Source organism: Homo sapiens, chromosome 16 (assembly GCF_000001405.40).
Source record: "Homo sapiens chromosome 16, GRCh38.p14 Primary Assembly".
Lineage (NCBI taxonomy): Eukaryota > Metazoa > Chordata > Mammalia > Primates > Hominidae > Homo > Homo sapiens.
Window position 1 is genome coordinate 59,565,975 of NC_000016.10, and position 20,525 is coordinate 59,586,499.

The window sequence follows — 20,525 nt, forward strand, 5'->3', positions numbered from 1 at the left end:
GGTGAAATCTCTATTCACAAATATTCTTAATTAGAGGAATATGAAGTATGAAAGCCTAGGAAGAAAACATTTTATTAAGAGCCTTGCTTGTGGAGTGAATGACTGTCTTTCTTGGATAGAAATTCAATGGTGGGAGTCTGTTTGAAGGTTAGAAGTCTTGGGCTGGGCGCGGTGGCTCACGCCTGCAATCCCAGCACTTTGGGAGGCCGAGGCGGGCGGATCATGAGGTCGGCAGTTTGATACCAGCCTCACTAACATGGTGAAACCCCGTCTGTACTAAAAATACAAAAATTAGCTGGGTATAGTGGTGTGTGCCTGTCATCCCAGCTACTCAGGAGGCTGAGGCAGAAGAATCGCTCGAACCCGGGAGATGGAGGTTGCCCTGAGCTGAGATTGCACCACTGCACTCCAGCCTAGGTGACAGAGTGAGACTCCATCTCAGAAAAAAAAAAAAAGAAAAGAAAAGAAAAGAAGGTTAAAAGTCTTGTTGGACAATGTATTTTCTCTGTCTTTGAATTGGAACTCTTCACTTGAGGAGAGAAGGACAAGAGAGCTCCACAAAGGGAGAGTTTTGATCATTACTGGCACATCTAAACATCTGTGTTTAGATGCAAAATACTTGTGAATGATTCATGTAAGTGGGGCACCATTCACTTCTGACCAATCTGCCTAAGTGCCAAGATAGTGAAGCCAGCTGTAATATCCAATTTACACTAAGCCCCTTCCCTATCATATTTCATTTAACTGTTGAGCTTGTCATTTATTTATTACAACACAGCAGTATTACAACAGGTCCACATTTCACTCTCCATAATGAGAAATCTCTAAGGGAAATCTTCATTTTCTTTTATGGCTTAAGAACAACTCATCTTCCATTTTTCACGAAGTATCATGAGTCCTAAATTCAGGAAAAAAATTCTGGTCCAAGGTACTAGATATAAAACATATATCTCAAAAGGCCTAGATGTTTTATTCAGGGATGGCTATATCAATTTCTTATATATTGTCTACACGGATATCCTTACCAGAACCTGGTTAACATGGGTTTACTGCTGCAGAGAATCAGAGTAAGATTACATATCTGGAAAAATAACAACCATCATTTTTTTCAACATATGTTTATTGAGCTTCTACTGTGGGCCAAGCACTCTGCAATGGTTGGTGAGGATAACACAGATTTTTTTTGGATCAGATTCTGCTTTTATATAACTTATAGCCAAGAAGGACAGATATACCCATAAGTGCCAATTGTAAGACAGGGAGTGATACATGACCCAAGTAAGGGAGTAGGGAGAAAAGTGTTATAGATATGTAGGGGAGAGCTCGGGGAAAAGTTAATGGAGAAGATAGTATAATAATATTTTTTAAAGAACTGATAAAATTGGAAACCTACATAATTTACTTATCAAGTGATAAAATTTAAAAATCAACTGGCAGGAAGATATACATGTGCATTTAAGCAAGATGTGGAGTTGACTTCTAGGTCACTCTAGGAACAAAATGCCTCTGAATTTTCAAATGTAATTTGGCTTGGGGATTTTGATCCCAATTTTGTTGATTATCATGACAATAATCATAACCTGTCGTGAAGAATGAAGTTAGCTGTTAGCCTCCAGCTTCAGTTCCTTCAGAATCCACCCGGCTGCTCCAGCCCAGGCCATGCCCTTCCTGGTCAGCTCTCAGCCAGTAACTGAACATAATGCGGTCCTAGGCCCTGCTCATTTCTCCACAACTCTGTTCTCCTCTCAGGCCATCCCCCTGCCGGGACTCCCTGTGGGGCTGGCCTAAATATCCCCAGAGCTCTACCACCATTGAGGCTCTTCCTTCCGGACTCCCTTCCTTCTGCCCTTTCACATTGCAGCCTGGAGGATCCCCCCCAACATATCCCAGGTCCCTCTCTTTTCTCTTTAAGGAGCATCAGCCCCAATTAACTTCTTGGTGTCTGCTTTCTGGAAGACCCAAACTGACAATGTAGCTGTCACGTCTTTAGTCCTCATAAACATTGATTAAATATTGGGGATTTTACTTACTTGCATTTTATCGTTAAAGGGACAGACAGGGAAGTTAAATGGTTTGTCCATTTTCTCAAAACTGTTAAATGGTGAAAGTGACGTTGGATCGCCTTTCTGAATAGAGTATGCATGTCCTTAGATATACTTCAGTGTTTAAGAGGAGTCTATTGTGATTCTTTTTGTTTAGTGAAATCTCATTTTAAACTTCAATCAATCAATCAGTCACTTGGGGCACTCACTCTTTTTCTTTTTGGTGAATCTAGATTTGCACATGTTGGGTTAAAAAGGACTCCTGTGAGAATATATTTTGTGCTGATTTAGATGTCTTTTTTTTTTTTTTTTTTTTTTTTTTAACAGAAGGGTCAGCGTGTGTCTTTCTGGCAGGACTGCCATTAGCTTCACTCCAGGCTGGAGTTTTAGCAGCATTCTGATCCCCAGCTTAAAACAAACAAACAAACAAACAAACAAAAAGCACATGGGCAAGACATTGCACAGGCTCTTGCTGCCCTGATTGCTTTCATTGTTGAAGCACACCTATTGCTTTTCTTTCGCAGGCTCTTCAATCAGACCGATGCCATCACCCCCTAGCCTGATATTCAAGGCCTCATTGCCTGCTCTCTCCAACTCTGCTTCATAATCTATGTGGCAACAACAACCAACTTTTGATTAGTCCTCAAAAAGCCTTTACCCCTGAGCATTTTCAGACGTCTTTCAAGCTAAATACATTCTGCCCTCCCTCAAATCAAGGCTTTTTCACTAAGAGCTCTCTCTCTTTTTAAACATTTTAAGCTAGGTGAATGGGGAAGGAAGGACCTACACATGCCTAAAGTCCTTGCTAGATAACTTCTATCGGAAGCCTTTAGTCACTCGCTAAAATGGATTTGTTTGTCCCTACGATTAGCTCCACAGTCCAAAGAGTATGTACTTGAAGCAGGAGATAATCCTAAGAGAAGAGGTGATCCTAATATAGCACCTGGCACACAGTATAAAGGCACTGCATGAATTAATATTAAAATGATGTACATTATAAAAATATCTATTTGTGTCACTAAACTTTGAGTCGCTGAAAAATTAGAATTCTATAATTTTCATTTTGAATCTATTTCCTCCAAAAGAGTCTTGTATCCGATGGCTCCCCAATACATGTATAACTGGCGAATTCAGATCAATGTGGAAAAATAATATTTATTGCTAAACATGATTGCCATTTACTGTAGACAGTGAAGTATAGTGAGAAAAAACATACAGTAAATTTTCAATATGATCTGTCTCCAAGAATTAAAATAGCCACAAATTATTATGTATTATTGTCCTTTTGTGATAAGTAATTCTGCTTTGTTAAAGATTTTGTTTCTTCAATGGGAAAAAGCATCATAAACTAAAAGTTGTCAGGAATTGCCATTCTTTTTCAGTCATCAGATGTTAATAGTTACCCAAAGGTTTTTGTAGCCATACCATTACTTGGAATCGAGCAGGGGAAATTACCCGTAATGGCATTAACCTCTTGAACTTCTTTTAGTATCTCTGCCTCTAAGGGAAAAAAATTCCCTGGTGTAGTTGTTTGGATCTGGTCAAATTCTCTAAGAATTGTTAAACTCTCTGGACAACATGTCTAGTGTAAACTTTCCTCTAAATAATAAATTTGTAGTTCAGCAACAAGCTAGACATCTCTGGGTAACATTTCCACCTTCTTGTTTACATTGTATGTCCAGCCTTTGGAAAAGCGTTTGGTAAAATATAAACTGGTTGGAAAAAAAATTAAAATATCACCAACACTATTTTTAAAAGAGAAATATTTATAATAGCTGGAAGTCATACTTAAGATTATAACATTTTAGGATATAGTGTGTTTGCAGTCAGATGTGAAATCAATGTACAAAGGGTCAAGACAAAGAATATTTCTCCTCCAGGCATTTCTAAAAAGAAAAAAAAGACCACTATATAGCCTCAATATCTCCAATGACCTAAATTCTCCAGGCAGTTAATAGAAGACGAAAATTTAAAAAGAACATGAGAGAGAACAGCATTTCATGATTCAGTGATGTTTCTTGAGGGAGGCAGGCTGCAAAAACAGAATAGGAACTTCATTTGAGGCTTGCTGTACATCCAACCACTGCTTCTCTCTTGCTTCTGCTCATTAAGCTTATAGTAAATTGCACCAGAAATACAATGACTTATAAGAAGAAAAGTGACACATTCTACTTAGAAAAAATCTGTAAAGCTAGAACTGAGAAAATAAAACCAAAGTACTCAGCAGATAAAATGTAAGTGATGGCCGGGCGCGGTGGCTCACGCCTGTAATCCCAGCACTTTGGGAGGCCGAGGCGGGCGGATCACGAGGTCAGGAGATCGAGACCATCCCGGCTAAAAACGGTGAAACCCCGTCTCTACTAAAAATACAAAAAATTAGCCGGGCGTAGTGGCGGGCGCCTGTAGTCCCAGCTACTTGGGAGGCTGAGGCAGGAGAATGGCGTGAACCCGGGAGGTGGAGCTTGCAGTGAGCCGAGATTGCACCACTGCACTCCAGCCTGGGCGACAGAGCGAGACTCCGTCTCAAAAAAAAAAAAAAAAAAAAAAAATGTAAGTCATTTATCACTAGTCTAGGACTTTGTACAAGGAGAGGCTCCAGAGCTCATAAAGTTGGCTAGACAATTGCAGTGATCTATGGAGACTGACCAACACCTTTCTGATCCCTAAGGCTCATAAGTTAGAAGAACAACCAGAGTGTAAGCTCTGGATCTGACATTAGGAAAAAAGCAGATATAAAACAAAATTAAAACTGCAGTGGTCATGGTGGTAATATATTGTTCATCGGAGGTTTGTAGAATTAAAAAAGATTGTCACTGGAGTGGAAGGATTCAAGTTTAAATGCCTTTTGTATTTGAAGAAGTGTGAAGTTAACGCATACCCTTGAATGTCATTATTTAATGACATTTTACACCTACATAATCTCCCCTCTTTCTTATAATTAGGGTTGGCAAGGATCAGGGTCAGAAAAACCTCGTATCCAGCAAATGTAGATATTAAATATTAATAGGAGGTAGAAATAAACAATCCCAAATTGACTAGCTCTATAAATGTAGGCTGGGCTTTGATTCATTTTTTAAGGCCATAGGTCATGACAAAGAATATTTATCCTTTGGACATTTCTAAGAATATATGAGCTGTAGTTTATCTTCCTTGCCTCACAATTCCATACATTTAGAAAAAAAGGGCCAATGGACTTCATAAATTGTCTTCTCAAAAAATCCTTTACTTTACTGATCAGGATATTAAGGCTCCGAGAGCATAAGTGAGTTATATCCTGAAACTTAAAGCAGGCATAAGCCAGGAATAGATCTCAGCTATCCACGTGTCACTGTCATAAATAACTATACAAGATTATTTGTTAGTTGTACTCTTTTTATTTCCCAAAAGAAAAGTTGATATAAATTCTTGGATGCCTGGCTATTCCCTAGAACATGATCTTTTTTTTTTCACTTAACTTTTTTAAATGAATGAAGAAATCTCTTAGCTTTTTAAACAAATATTTACTGATGCCATATAGGAATTTTGCTAGCTCTAGGCACTGGGTATGTAGAGATTATATAAATCAAGGATATTAATAAAGGAATGGACTTTATTCCAATGCTACCTATTAGTAGGTTTAATTTTTTCCCGTTCCTCATAGCTCATTGGCTGCTGCACAGATTCTCACATGCTGAGTAGGATGTCTTGAGACAGCCAGCTTGCTTCTGATGGTCAAAATGGTGTCAGGACTTTCTGTAGCACATCAGTAGTTGCCTGCATGAAGTTTGATATGTGTTTATACACAAAAGGTGACATCTTTGGAAGAAAGGAGAAAAGGGTTTTGTTACTCATCTGCCTCTGATAAGCGTGTGATTTTGAGAAAGTCACATTTTCTCAGTGAACCTTGGTTTTATCAAGCAATAGTTTTCCATCCAGTTTTTTTTTTTTTTTGAGTTGGGGTCTCACTCTCTCGCCCAGGCTGGAGTGCAGTGGCACGATCACAGCAGATTCGACCTCTAGGCTCAACCAATCCTCCTACCTTAGCCTCTGGAGTAGCCAGGATTAGAGGCATGTGTCATCATACCCAGATAATTTTTAAATTCTTTGTATAGACAGGGTCTCCCTATGTCATCCGGGCTGGTCTTGAACTTCTGGCCTCAAGCGATCCCCCTGTCTTCACCTCCCAAAGTGCTGGGATTACAGGCATGAGCCACTGCACCCAGCCTCTGGTTGCTTTTGCTTCTAATGAACAGTGGGTGATTACAGGAATTTATCATCAAGGATTGACTAAAATATAAGAATTATAGCTAAAGATGTTGAACAGATGACATTTATAAGTTTAATTATTTTCATTATGAATGCAATTATAGTTGCAGGTCCTTGAAAGAAAAGCATTTTTACTGAGTAATTGTTCATTATAGCATGGTGTTAATGGGCATTAAGGCCAGGGGCTTTTCCTTTTTTCAGCCACACCGGTGATGTTTCTCCATTACTCCCCTGAATTGCTACATTGAAGGACATGATAGCAATGCTATTGCCCCAAGAAGGGCAGGTTGTGTAAACTATTAAGAGATCCCTAGACTGAAAAATAGACACAGCTGAATCCTACTGTCTGTCCCACTATTTATTAGATTTTGGGTAAATGGCTTAAATTCACTGAACCCAAGTTACCACAATCATAAAGTGAAGTGATGGTGCCAGGTTTATTTCAGCACCATTTTTCATAGCTACAGGACTACAGTTTACTCCTTTCACTAGGGTATTCCTTACTGTGGCCTGCCAGGTATGCTGTGGAGTGGGAATAAACTTGGGTTTCACCCCCTTATGCCTTGGATTGCTAACATTCCTACTGGAACATTGTCTGGGGGACTATTGGGAGACCTCATCTGGCAGAGGAAACGGCCACTAACATCTATATTTGATGGCTGTTAGGAATACTGGAATTGTGTGCCACATCTGTTTCCTGAAGATCATGTTAACTTCTAGAATGTTTCTTGGTGTCAGGTGTTTCGGCACAGTGATGCGGATAATTCCTCCCCTTTAATATGTTGGGAGAGAGTTAGGGTGTGGGAGGAGTCTAGGATGAATACCTGAGTTTTGTCTTAATATGCATCATATATATCATGTAATAGGTATCAATTGTTTGCAAAACACCATCCTGTGTGCAATATGCCTATTAAACAGTAACGAGATATTATTTCAACTATTTCAAGAAGAGAACAGAAATTAAGGGAAAGTAAGTAATCGAAGTACACAAATGTTGAATATTTTTATAAGATAACTTATTACTAACCAACAATTCCAGAATTTGAACATATACCTGGTGGATTGAGAGTCTAACTTTGAACATACAGAAGGTAATATGCCATAATAATATTAAAATCAGGAAAATTTATTTCAGATAATATCTTGTCAAACATCTTAAATTTACAAATGAGGTCAAATTTACGAATGAGAGCCAGGGGTTGAATGTTTATCTTCCCAAGGCCAGCAAGTATCCGCACTAAAAATATCTAAGCAGGACTCTCTAGCTACCAACCCAATGTTCTCCTCACTAGAGAGATATTTTTTTCATTCCAGTTTTCTTACCTTCCCCAATACCAAAAGTGCTTATTATATATGAGCTTGCAGATGATGACATCAAGAGGGAAGTGAGGCAAGATATTAACTGACCACCTGTTTTGTCTGAGATTCTAGGTGAGTCAGTTTTGCCATTTAATCTTTAAAAATCATGATGCGGCAGAGACAGACAGGGACGCTGAAGTCAGAGGTTACGTCACTTCATAAAGATGAGAACAGAGCCAGGAAAAATTCAAATTCCTTATTGGATTGTCTCAAAGACTTTTTAGATAAAACACTTTGGAAAGTTTAAGTTGAAATTATAAATTAAATTTAAAAATTTAAATTTATTTAAAATGCTAGGCAGTTTGAATTAAAAGATACGTTACCTCATTATTACATTTTATAATGCCCCTCAAGTTTTTATGTTCAAAATTTTCCCCCAGAAGGCAAGAATAGTTTCTTTGAACTATGACTGCTACTGTTTTACTCTGAGTCATTTTTGGTGTGTAAATTGTGCATATTTGAATAGTTCGTAAGCTTCTGCAATCTATATCTGGGACAATTCCAAATTCCATCCTGCCTAGTTCTAAAACCATGAGAAAAGCAAAAAATTCAATTCATTTGAATTTCTCTAATAGCTGGGTAAGGGCTGATCATTGACAGAATTGTGGAACCCTATTGAATATTTACTTGTATGGATAGTAATTATATGAGCTTCTCGATCTCACCAGAAGGATGTATTTTTAGTATCTTTATTGTCTTGGTTTTAAGGTAAAGTAAAACCTATTTGGTAATGAGTTTTGTGGATCTATCGCAGAGAAGTTTAAATTATTCTCTTATTCAGGCCAGGGACAAACAAGGGAGCAAGAGGGATTAGATAAATTAAATAGATGATTAACTGTGAGTAAGAATTTTATCAACTCTTAGCAAGGGTTCAGACAGTCAGACATCATATACCAGGCAGAGTGAGAGAAAAGTTGCTTCTCTAATCTAGAGAAGAATAGGTGACTGCAGTTTAGGACCTTGCATAGTTCTTTGAAAGACAAAACAAACAACAAATAAACAAACCCAAATATGACTAGAAATAGAGACCTCTTTGAGGGCTTTTACATGTAGGTCCCCACTCTGAATGCTCCATCTATTGATTCTCATAGGACCATCTTTTCTTTAGCAAGATACAGATATTTGGCCCTTTGGGGATCAGTTCTCATTTTTGTTGTGTGAATAAATAATCTTGATTAAGAAAAAACGCTTTCTAAACTCACTTGCTCCTTTTGCTGTGGTTTTTTTAAAAAGCTGCATATTGTAACGACTTTATGTGTAAATATTTTAGAATAAAAATTGTAAAGTACAACTGTGTTTTGCTTAAAATGTTAAAAACTCAGAACAACATGATTTAACAAATAAGCAATTTAGAAAGGAGATACTCAAGAACACAGGTCAGCAAACTACATCCCTCAGGCCATACCACTCTGCCTGAAAGCTAAGAATCGTTTTTAGATTTTTAAAGGTTGTAAAAAAAAAAAAAGAGAAGAATATATGTATATGTCCCACAAAATCTGAAATATTTGTTGTATGATCCTTAAGAAAAGGGTTGCTTTGACTCCTGATTTAGAACATTTAAAAAATAAACTTTACAACTTATTTTCTTTATAGTCTTATTAAAATCTTTTTCCATGAATTATTATACTTGAGGTTACATCTTGGTGTAGATAAATTGTTAATAGCCCCATTTTACAGATAAGAAATTGAAATTAAGTGATACATCCATGACTACTTAACCTTTCAAATATGTGAATAATATGATCCTCTAAATTGTATTTACTGCTTTAGTGCATTATCATCAATGATTATATATGCTAATATTTAATCTCTACATCAAAAATATTCCATCAAAATGCGTAAATCTTCCATTTATATTCAAATAATATAATTTACACAAATAAAATATAAATAAAACTTGATTTGAGAAAAATCTGTATAGCAAAACCTACATGGGTTTTTTGTTGTTGTTTTGGACATGAGTCAATTATGAACTAAGCATGTACTATTATTGTTAAAAATAGTTTATAGATAAAGATAATCATAGTCCCTTGGGGACAATTTGGTCCTTCCAAAGATCCAAAACTATGAGAATTACAGAAAATGCAAGGGACATTTAATAACACACATCTGGACAGTGAATGTGTTCATATAATATAAAATTAATACTAACTAGACTTATTTAATATGAAAACAAAATATATTCAGAAAATGAGAGACTTAAGATGTAAAAGAAAGATAAGATTCACTGTGTTCCCTGGATCAATAATTGCAATTATTCAAAATATATGATGAATTCTGAAAACAGATGAATATTGGAAAACTTCCTAAATGACACACACCAGGTGAATCACAGACACTTTCTTCATTAGAATATAATCAATAATGTGGATGATGATTTAAGAAGCTTCATTAGCAAATATGTAAATTTCACAAAGAGAGGAGTATCCTGCTCAATGGTAGGCAGTTGTATCTGTTCTAATATACTTTTGTTTTTTTGAGATGGACTCTTGCTGGATTCCAGGCTGGAGTGCAGTGGCACGATCTCAGCTCACTGAAATCTCTGCCTCCTGGATTCAAATGATTCTCCTGCCTCAGTCTCCCGAGTAGCTGGGATTATAGGCACCCACCACCAAACTGGGGTAATTTTTGTATTTTTAGTAGAGACGGGGTTTCGCTGTGTTGGCCAGGCTGATCTTGAACTCCTGACCTCAGGTGATCGGCCTTCCTCGGCCTCCCAAAGTGCTGGGATCACAGGCGTGAGCCACTGCACTCTGAATGCACCCAATCTCGTCTGTTCTAATATACTTTCCTCTTTTGCCTAAAAATATCTTAATATATGTTTTAGTCAACTAGCCACCATGAAGTTTCAAACTATCAGTTGCAACAATAGCTGTTTTAGACATTTTGCTTGATATATGGCATGGCTGTTGTCTTAAGTGATATTTTAAAATGCATATATTAACAAAAGCACACTCTCAATTTACTTAGCACCAGTTATTAAATTTATGATTAACTAAATTTAAAAAACTAAAATGATAATTTATGTAAAGCACGTAAACAAATGCTCACACTTGGTCTGTCAGTGTACTGTGGCAAATGGGGTCATTAAACACTGAATGCGATATTACAGACGATAAATTGTAGTCGGTTTTAGGGGGTTAGGTAATGCTTAGTATACGAGGGTAGATTGAAAAGACAAAAGTTATAGTACTTATTTAATTTATTATAATATTTTATTTAGTTATAATATTGTAATTTATTATAATTATTTATAATATAGTTATAAATCTGAACATTTATCATTTTATCCTTGTACTTTAAGTTCTAGATGAGAAACAACCTAAAATACTATACTTTGGCCACTTCCTATGGATCTATACCCTGGACTTTGTCGTCTAGCTCTTAACATTCTGATGGTGAGAAGGGAAGGGGACAACAATTTGGTAAAATAATTTCTTTTCATTAACCAAAATAAGGCTTGCTTACGTCATATACACATCTAGTGTTCTCTTTATTCTGTTGCCATGTAATCCTTTTTCTAATGGTCATTGTGGATCCAAAAACTTCTTGAGATTTCTCTTACCTAGACTTTCTATGTAAGTCCTAGGGGAGCTGTGGCAATTGTTCACTATGATTTTCTGAACCCAGGAACAACAATGAAAACTTGAGGAATTTAGTCAAAAAAGAAAATATTTAGCCCCGAACATTTTGCTCACTAATTTGCAAATTTTCTTCTTGCATCATATGCAACATGATATTTTGAAGTATTACATCGTAGAATGGTTAAATCTAGTTAATTAACAAGTACATTTCCTCACATGGTTATCATTTTTTGTGGGGAGAACATTTACTCTTCTTAGCATTTACAAGAATACAATATATTATAAACTGTAGTCACCATGCTGTAAGTATAGAGCACCCTTGACGTAACTAACTTATCTTAGAAAAAGACTCCATTTTATATTTCATAGAGCACTTTGCCAACAAGGATAACATGTTTTGTTTAATAAACGAATAAATAAGGACTGCATCCAACCAGATAGGGACCCAAACAAAGGCATTATTTCACTCTCAGTTCCCACCAGAGGACTCCGTGGCTATAAAAGACCAAGCTTTCGCAGCTCAAAATGGCCGTCTTAACTGACACCTTCTTGTAGTCACTTATGATAAGAATTTGGCATCTGCCAGCCTGGCGCAGTGGCTCACACCTGTACTCCCAGCACTTTGGGAGGCCAAGGCAGGTGGATCACCTGAGGTCAGGAGTTCGAGACCAGCCTGGCCAACGTGGTCAAACCCCATCTCTACTGAAAATACAAAAATTAGCCGGGCCTGGTGGTGTGTGCCTGTAATCCCAGCTACTCGGGAGGCTGAGGCAGGAGAACCACTTGAACCAGGGAAATGGAGGTTGCACAGAGCCGAGATCGTGCCACTGCACTCCAGCCTGGGTGACAAAGTGAGACTCCATCTCAAAAACAAAAACAAACAAACAAAAAACCCCAAAGAATTTAGTATCTGCAGCCAGGCACGGTGGCTCACACCTGTAATCCCAGCACTTCAGGAGGTCAAGGTGGGCAGATCATGAGGTCAGGAGTTCAAGACCAGCCTGACCAACATAGTGAAACCTCGTCTCTTCTAAAAATACAAAAATTAGCCAGGCATGGTGGCAGGTACCTGTAATCCCAGCTACTGGGGTGGCTAAGGCAGGAGAATCGCTTGAACCTGGGAGGCGGAGGTTGCAGTGAGCCGAGATAGCACCATTGCACTCCAGCCTGGGCAACAGAGCGAGACTCCATCTCAAAAAAAAAAAAAAAAAAAAAAAAAAAAAATTTGGCATCTGCCACCAAAGGCACTATCATCTCATAGACTCTTCCTTGCAAGACCAGTGGACTGTCTAGCCCAAACCAGGACTCATTTTATTGTCTTAGTTCTCCCTGGACTGGTTTGTTAACCCTTTCTCCTATCTCTTTTTCCCCTTGATGTTATATGTTACTCTGTTTGTTGTGGAATAATTAACCTTTAACTTTTATATATGGATCAAATATTCTATTATGTATGGTTTGCAAAACTGACTGACTTGTGGAGTGACTTGAGCCTGTGTGCTGGTGGCTCTGACTACTGAGTGTATGGTAATTACTAAGGAGATTTGCCTTCTTGGGAACTCCATGTAGCTCGTGGCTTTTGTCATTGAAGTAGCAACAGTAAAACCCTACATTGTGGAAAGACACAGGCATGCATGGACCTTGTTATCTCTAACTTTGCACCATTCGTGACACTGTACAATAGATATCTTGAACTTATTAATTCTACCTAAGTGTATATATGTGTCCTTTGGCCAACATGTCCCCAACCTCCTCTTTCCACTAAAAACCTAGCCTCTGATAATTGCCATTCTACTCTCTACTTCTATGAGATCAACTCTTTTAGATTCCACATGTGAGTGAGATTATGTGGTGTTTGTTTTTCTGTGTCTGGATTATTTCACTTAACGTAGTGTCCTCCATGTTCATCCATGTTGTCACAAATGGCAGAATTTCTTTCTTGTAGTTGAATAGTATTCCATTGTGTGTATATAACACATTTCCTTTATCCATTCATCTGTTGATAAACACTTAGGTTGATTTCATATCTTAGATATTGTGAATAATGCTGCAATAAATATGCAAGTGCAGATATCTCTTCAACATACTGATATCATTTCCTTTGGATATATGCTCAGTAGTGGGATTGCTGGATCATATGGTAGTTCTATTTTTAGTTTTTTTGAAACTATCATACTGTTTGCCATCATGGTGGTACCAATTTACTTTCCCACCAACATTTTCAAGGGTTTTCTTTACTCCACATCCTCCCCAATGCTTAATATCTATTGTCTTCCTGATAATCGTGATTCTCTCAGGAGAAGGGCTATTATCAGAAAGGCAGGTGGAGTTGTCAAGAGAAAGAAATAAAAGTCATCCAAATTGGAAAGGAAGAAGTTAAATCATCTCTATTTGCAGATAACATGATCTTATATATAGAAAACCCTAAGGCTCCACCAAAAAGTTGTTAGAATTAATAAACAAATTCAGAAAAGTTGCAGATACAAAACCAACACACAAAAACTATATCTATATACTAACACAGGACCAACTAAAAGAGAAGTCAAGAAAACAATGTTATTTACAATAGCTAAAAAAATACTTAGATTAAGAATAAATTTAATCAAGGAGGTGAAAAATATCTATTCTGAAAATTATAAAACATTAACGAAAGAAAGTGAAGAAGACACAAACAGATATTTGTTCATGGATTGGAAGAATTAATATTGTTAAAATGTCTGTACCATTCAAAGTGATCTACAGAATCAATGCAATCCCTATCAAAATACCAATTAGATTCTTCACAGAAATAGAAAAACAATCTAAAATTTGTATGGATCCAAAAAGACCTCTAATAGCCAAAGCAATCTTGAGGAAAAAGAACAAAGCTGAAGGCTTGGCACTACCTGACTTCAAAATACACGACAGTTAGAGTAACCAAAACAGCATGGTACTTACATAAAAACAGACTCATAGAGTAATGGAAGATAATAGAGAGAGTAGAAATAAATCTACATTTACAGTCAACTCGTTTTCAACAAAGGTGCCAAGAATACACAATGAGGAAAAACAGTCTTTTCAATAACTGGTGTTGGGGAATGCAAAAAATGAAACTAGACTCCTATCTCTCAGTATATTCAAAAATCAGCTCAAAATGGATTAAAGATTTAAATGTAATGCCCCAACCTATGAAACTAATAGAAGAAAACATAGAGGAAAACTTCCTAATACTGGTCTGGGCAGTGCTTTTCTGATTATGACTTCAAAAGCATGGACAACAAAAGCAAAAATAGACAAATGAGACAAAATCAAACTAAAAAGCTTCTGCACAGAAAACAAAATCCACTCAACAGAGTGAAGAGACCACCTACGGAATGGGAGAAAATATTTGCAAACTATACATCTGATAAGGGGCTAATATCCACAATGTATAAGGAACTTAATAGCAAGAAAACAAATAACTTGATTTTATAATGGGCTAAAGACTTAAATAAATTTTTTTTTAAAAAACATACAAATGGCTAACAGTTGTATGAGGAAGTGCTCAATATCACTAATTATCAGGGAAATGCAAATCAACACCACAGGGAGAAAAAGTTTTTAACATAAGCAATTCAAGAAATTGTAAAAGGGGCAACTTAATAAACAAAAGAAGGTAGAAGGAAAGTAGTATTAAACTAATATTAAATTTACAAGCATAATTGTGCAATGAAAAAGCAGGCAAGCGATAGTATGATCAGAAATATTTTCTTCTTTGAGGAGAGTAACTAGATAGACAATTCATTGGCAAGATTGTGGAACAAACATAAATAATATTTAAAATATTAGGTATAACGAAGAGCATCACTACTGTTATAATCTGTGTAATCTCTCTCTGTGTGTATCTATACAGATTATTTTTAAATTCAAATACTAAAAATAACTTGATTTCAGATATGATAAAAATAGGATAAGATAGAGAAATTAAAGACCAACAATGTACAATGCATCAAATTCATATGATTGTGTCACTAGAGAGAAAAAAATTAGCAACATTTCTTATGAAAAAGTTTAATTGTATTCTGTGTGTGTATATAAATATACTCTTTTTTTAGTTCATTCTAAATGCCTGTTTTTATATCAGTCTTTTCCCTACTCTATTTTCTGTATTATATTTTGTAAAAGTAATTTCAACTTTTATTTTAGATACGGGGGTACATATTCAGGTTTGTTATAGGGGTATATCATGTATGTATATACTCAATGTTATTGAAAGATACAGCAAGTGTGACACTGAATTGTGAAATGTTCATGTATTCTCTAATGCTTATTAAAGCCAAGAACAAGATAAGCTAACTATAAAACTTGCATTTAACAATGTATTGAAGTCTTACCAAAAGCATAACACTCAGTATGGATATGAAGTGTAAAGATTTTCGAGGGAGTTAAAGAGCCATCATTATTCTCATGTATTTGTCCACATAATGTAATCTTTAAATATCATAAATGTTTCTTTTAGAACTAATAAGAAAGAAAGCAAGTTTGCTAATTTTAAGTTTAGTATACAAATATCAAGAGCATCCTTATATATCAGCAATGAACAATTTAAAAATATATTTTTAAAATGTTATTCTAATCACAATAAATATCATAAATGTACCTAGGGAAAAATGACAATAGATAGGTAACAACTTTATGAAAATAACTTTGTTAGAAAAAATAATATGAGTTTTTAAAAAGAACAAAAATATTGCTTATTTATGAAAGGGAAAATCTATTATTTTAAAGAAAAATTTTTTAAATTAATCTATAGTTAATTAAAATTCAAATAAAATCTCAACTAGGTTTTCTATTGTAACTTGACATGATTCCAACAGTGCAATGGAAGGGCAAAATTAATATTGTGAAAAATAAAGAGAGAAAATACATCATAACATATATCAAGTTTCAGTTTAAAGATAAAGTAATTAAACAGTATTTTTTGTGCAAGAAGGAACAAATAGACTGCTAGAGCTTAGAAGCAGACTTACCCATATAAATGTAAAGTACTGATTATCCAAAAAATGTTGCTGGGAGAATTTCTATTCATATGGAAGTTGAGTGGAAATTTTGCTATCTATCCAATAAACAAAAAAATAAATTTATTTTAGTCATATTAAAAACCATAGAAAAGGCTGGGCGCAGTGGCTCACACTTGTAATCCCAGCACTTAGGGGGGTCGAGGTGGGCAGATCACTTGAGGCCAGGAGTTCAAGACCAGCCCAGCCAACATGGTAAAACCCCATCTCCTCTAAAAATATAAAAATTAGCTGGGCGTGGTGGCAGGCACCTGTAATCCCAGCTTCTTTGGAGGCTGAGGCAGGAGAATCACTTGAACCCGGGAGGCTGCACTCCAGCTTGGGCAACAAGACCAAAACTCTGTCTCAAAAAAAAAAAAAAAAAACAAAAACATACCGTAGAATAAAAAAACTAATTAAAAATAGGATACACTTATTATTTCAGTGTAGTACAAGAATTTTTTTATAAGAAAAGTACAAAACATTAAGACAATATTGTTTTCAGTCATACTGTTATGTATACTGTTAATTTTAATGTCATCAAATTTGCCAATTAAATAAACCTTACTTTTGCATATCTAAGTTTTGTTGCATAGAATGCAGGCACATTTCTTATGATGGCTCTTTATAAGACTTGACTCTGCATGAAGCGCTCTCATTACATCCTAATTCCTAATTAAAAGTGCTGCTTCCATGTGTTTGGGATAGAAGATTGAATTATATGGTTGTTAAGTGCTTTCCCAAATTGGTACATCATGGATGGAAACATTCCACACTTAACAACCTGTGGTTTATAACTATAGTTACCAAATTGGGAACTGAGAGAAATATGCTCTAATATTGACTTAGACTGCTCCTGACATGTAGGTACATATATGTGTGCATGTGTATGCAGAAAGGGCAAGATAAGTCATCTATCATAGCTGCATTATCACGTAAAACTTAAAATCACCTCTCACTGGTGATAGCAATACAGGTTCAAGAGAGTGGAGCTTTAGATATGACCAGTTGCTCATCAGATACATGGTTGAAGGAGAGCTGAGGTTTCCTAATGTTAGAACAGATAGGAGTACTGTGTACCACCAAACCATTAGGAAACAACCCTTTAAAATATGAAATCAAATTTCTGCGGACAGAGGCTCTCCAGAAAAGGGAAGGACAAATTCATATCATTTAACGCAAAATTGTTGAAGGTATTGAACTTTCTTGAAAGCCTCATTCTTTTAATATAACTTTTCCTACAACCAACTTCTATTTTTTTTCTTCCTGAGAACTATTCTCCAAAATATGAATTTGGTTGCTTTTCTTCATGATAGACAATAGTCATAAATTTAAAGAATATTCGTAATGTGGAAAACTGCTGTTCTTGTTTTAGAATTGGTGTAGGCAAACTTGAAAGGAGATGAAATTAGGCCTTCTGTGGAGGAAAGTATATTATACAGAACAACAGAGTTATCTAAACATATAAACATAATGTTGCTGAACCATGCTGATGGAATCAGGACAGCCCTATTGGAATGTAAATTATATGGGGGCACTATTCAAGTCTGCTGTGTTCTCCATTGCATATTGATGATCCAGCACAGTGCTGGACACATGTTAGACACTCAAGAAATTGTGAAAAAAACACACAAATGAGCTAGCAAGTTTGAGAGGCACTTCCTAAGTTGTTTCAGTAGGATTTATCTTTTTTCCTAATAAATGGAACAATTATTTTGTAGATGGACTATTTCCCTCTAGGGTTTTATATGAAGGTAATGCTTTCCAGCAAGCTTGTTTTCATGCATTTTCCCTTATCCTAACACCATCAGGGTAGGTATTTTGTGACTTTTGTCTATTTTCATATCATTTAATGGATTTTATTTCTGAGCTGCATTAAATTGTTTATGCTCTTTCAACACTCATAAGCACAAATAATGAAATTATAAATGAAGAGCATAAATTTACTTAGAATTAAATAATAGGCATACCACCTTGTATTACAGGTATTATCTCATTTAATACACACAGCAATCCCTTAGTAGACATGATTTACCATTTCACAAATTCTCAAACTGAAGCTAAGAGAGATTTGATAAACTTGACAAACTCTCAGAATTAATAAGTGCTTAATTTAGTGATGAACCAATTTAGGTATTTCAGAGCCTTCGTTTTTAAATGCTTTTGTTCTTCATGTGGTTTTTCTAAGGAAAACTCATGTCTTTTTTGTTATTCAGTAGAATAAGGGTGAATGATTTAGCGTGAATTAGAACAAAATTGAATCAACAACAAACTGAGAAGTAAAAGGGAAGTTTCCATGCCTTAGAAAAAGCCCTTTTGCAGAAGACATACATGTGGCCAACAATCACATGAAAAAAAAAAAAAAGGTCAACATCACTGATCATTAGAGAAATGTAAATCAAAACCACCATGAGATACTATGTTACAACAGTCAGAATGGCCACTGTTGAAAAGTCAAAAAATAACAGATGCTGGCGTGGTTGCAGACAAAGAGAAATGCTTATATACTGTTGGTAGAAGTGTAAATTACTTCAACCATTGTGGAAGACAGTGTGGCAATTCTTCAACGTTCTAAAGACAGAAATACCATTCGACCCAGAAACCCCACTTACTGGGTCTATACTCAAAGTAATATAAATTTTTCAATTATGAAGATACATGCATGGGTATGGTCATTGCAGCGCTATTTGCAATATAGCAAAGATGTGGAATCAACTTAAATGTCCATCAATGATAGACTAGAAAAAGAAGATGTAGTTCATATACACCATGGAACACTATGCAGCCGTAAAAAAGAATGAGATCATGTCCTTTGCAGGGACATGGATGAAGTTGGAAGCCATTATCCTCAGCACGCTAACACAGGAACAAAAAACCAAATACCACATATTCTCACTTATAAGTGGGAACTAAATGATGAGAACACAGGGGCACATAGAGGGGACAACACACACTGGTGCCTGTTGAATGATGGAAGGTTGGGGGAGGACAGAGAGGATTAGGAAAAATAACTAATGGGCATTAGGTTTAATACCTGGATGATGAAATAATCTGTATAACAAACACCCATGACACAAGTTTACCTGTGTAACAAATCTGCACATTTGCTGAACTTAAAAGTTAAAAAAAGGAAGAAGCCTTTTGCTTTGCATTGTACTCATAATGACAGCAGAATCGGTGAGCATCAATATGCTACCTACAACCAAAGAGAGTTTAGCACATGTGCTTTGGAGAATCATTTAGCAGCATTCAGATCCCATGGTTTCAGCCTCTCCTATCATCTTATTTTCAATCAGCTTCAGGACAAAGTGACAGAGAAACTGAGTCAGACGAGAAGCCATGTGTAAGCAACTCAGAAGAATAGAATTGTTCACCTCTCTGCATTTGGAGTCTGTGAGATCCTGCTTCCCTCCATATTGGTTCTGTGGTCTATGAGTGGCATGCATTCTGGCTAGAAAAAGAAAATACAGGTGGGACGTGGTGGCTCACGCCTGTAATCCCAGAACTTTGGGAGGCAGAGGGGCAGATCACGAGGTCAGGAGATCGAGAGCATCCTGGCTAACACAGTGAAACCCCGTCTCTACGGAAAATACAAAAAATTAGCTGGGCGTGGTGGAGGGCACCTGTAGTCCCAGCTACTCGGGAGGCTGAGGCAGAAGAATCACTTGAACCCGGGAGGCGGAGGCTGCAGTGAGCCAAGATTGTGCCACTGCAGTCCAGCCTGGGTGACAGAGCGAGACTCTGTCTCAAAAAAAAAAAAAAAAAAAAAAAAAGAGAAAATACAATAAACACAACTTGAAGTAGCTCATATCCCTGCAAGCAAAGCTCTTAAACTACTTTGTCTTGCCACATGTGCCTATGAAAGAGTCACGGCACTCATGAACTGAAATAGCTAAGCTAAACAGCCACACACAAGGCTTTCAACTTATCAGTTCAAAATTTATGGCCAAGAATACTTGCAGCACAAATTTGCAAATTTGTACTCAGATTAAGAGAGTTTAAATCATCTCAAATATTGACATTGTGTATCTCTTATAGCTAAAATCTTCATATTTTCATTACTTCCAGTCATTAACAAAGGATATTAATTGTTTTCTTTTACCAGTATGTGCACATTTTTATTCCAGTTTAATTTAAAAAAGAGAAATCTATGATGCCATAGTCTTTGGAAATTATCACCATAATTTTTATGGTTGACATAGGTGTTCATGAAAGTAATTATGCTGAATTCATCTTTCAGCATAATAAAAATAGACGATGTTCACTGAACACTTATTATGGGT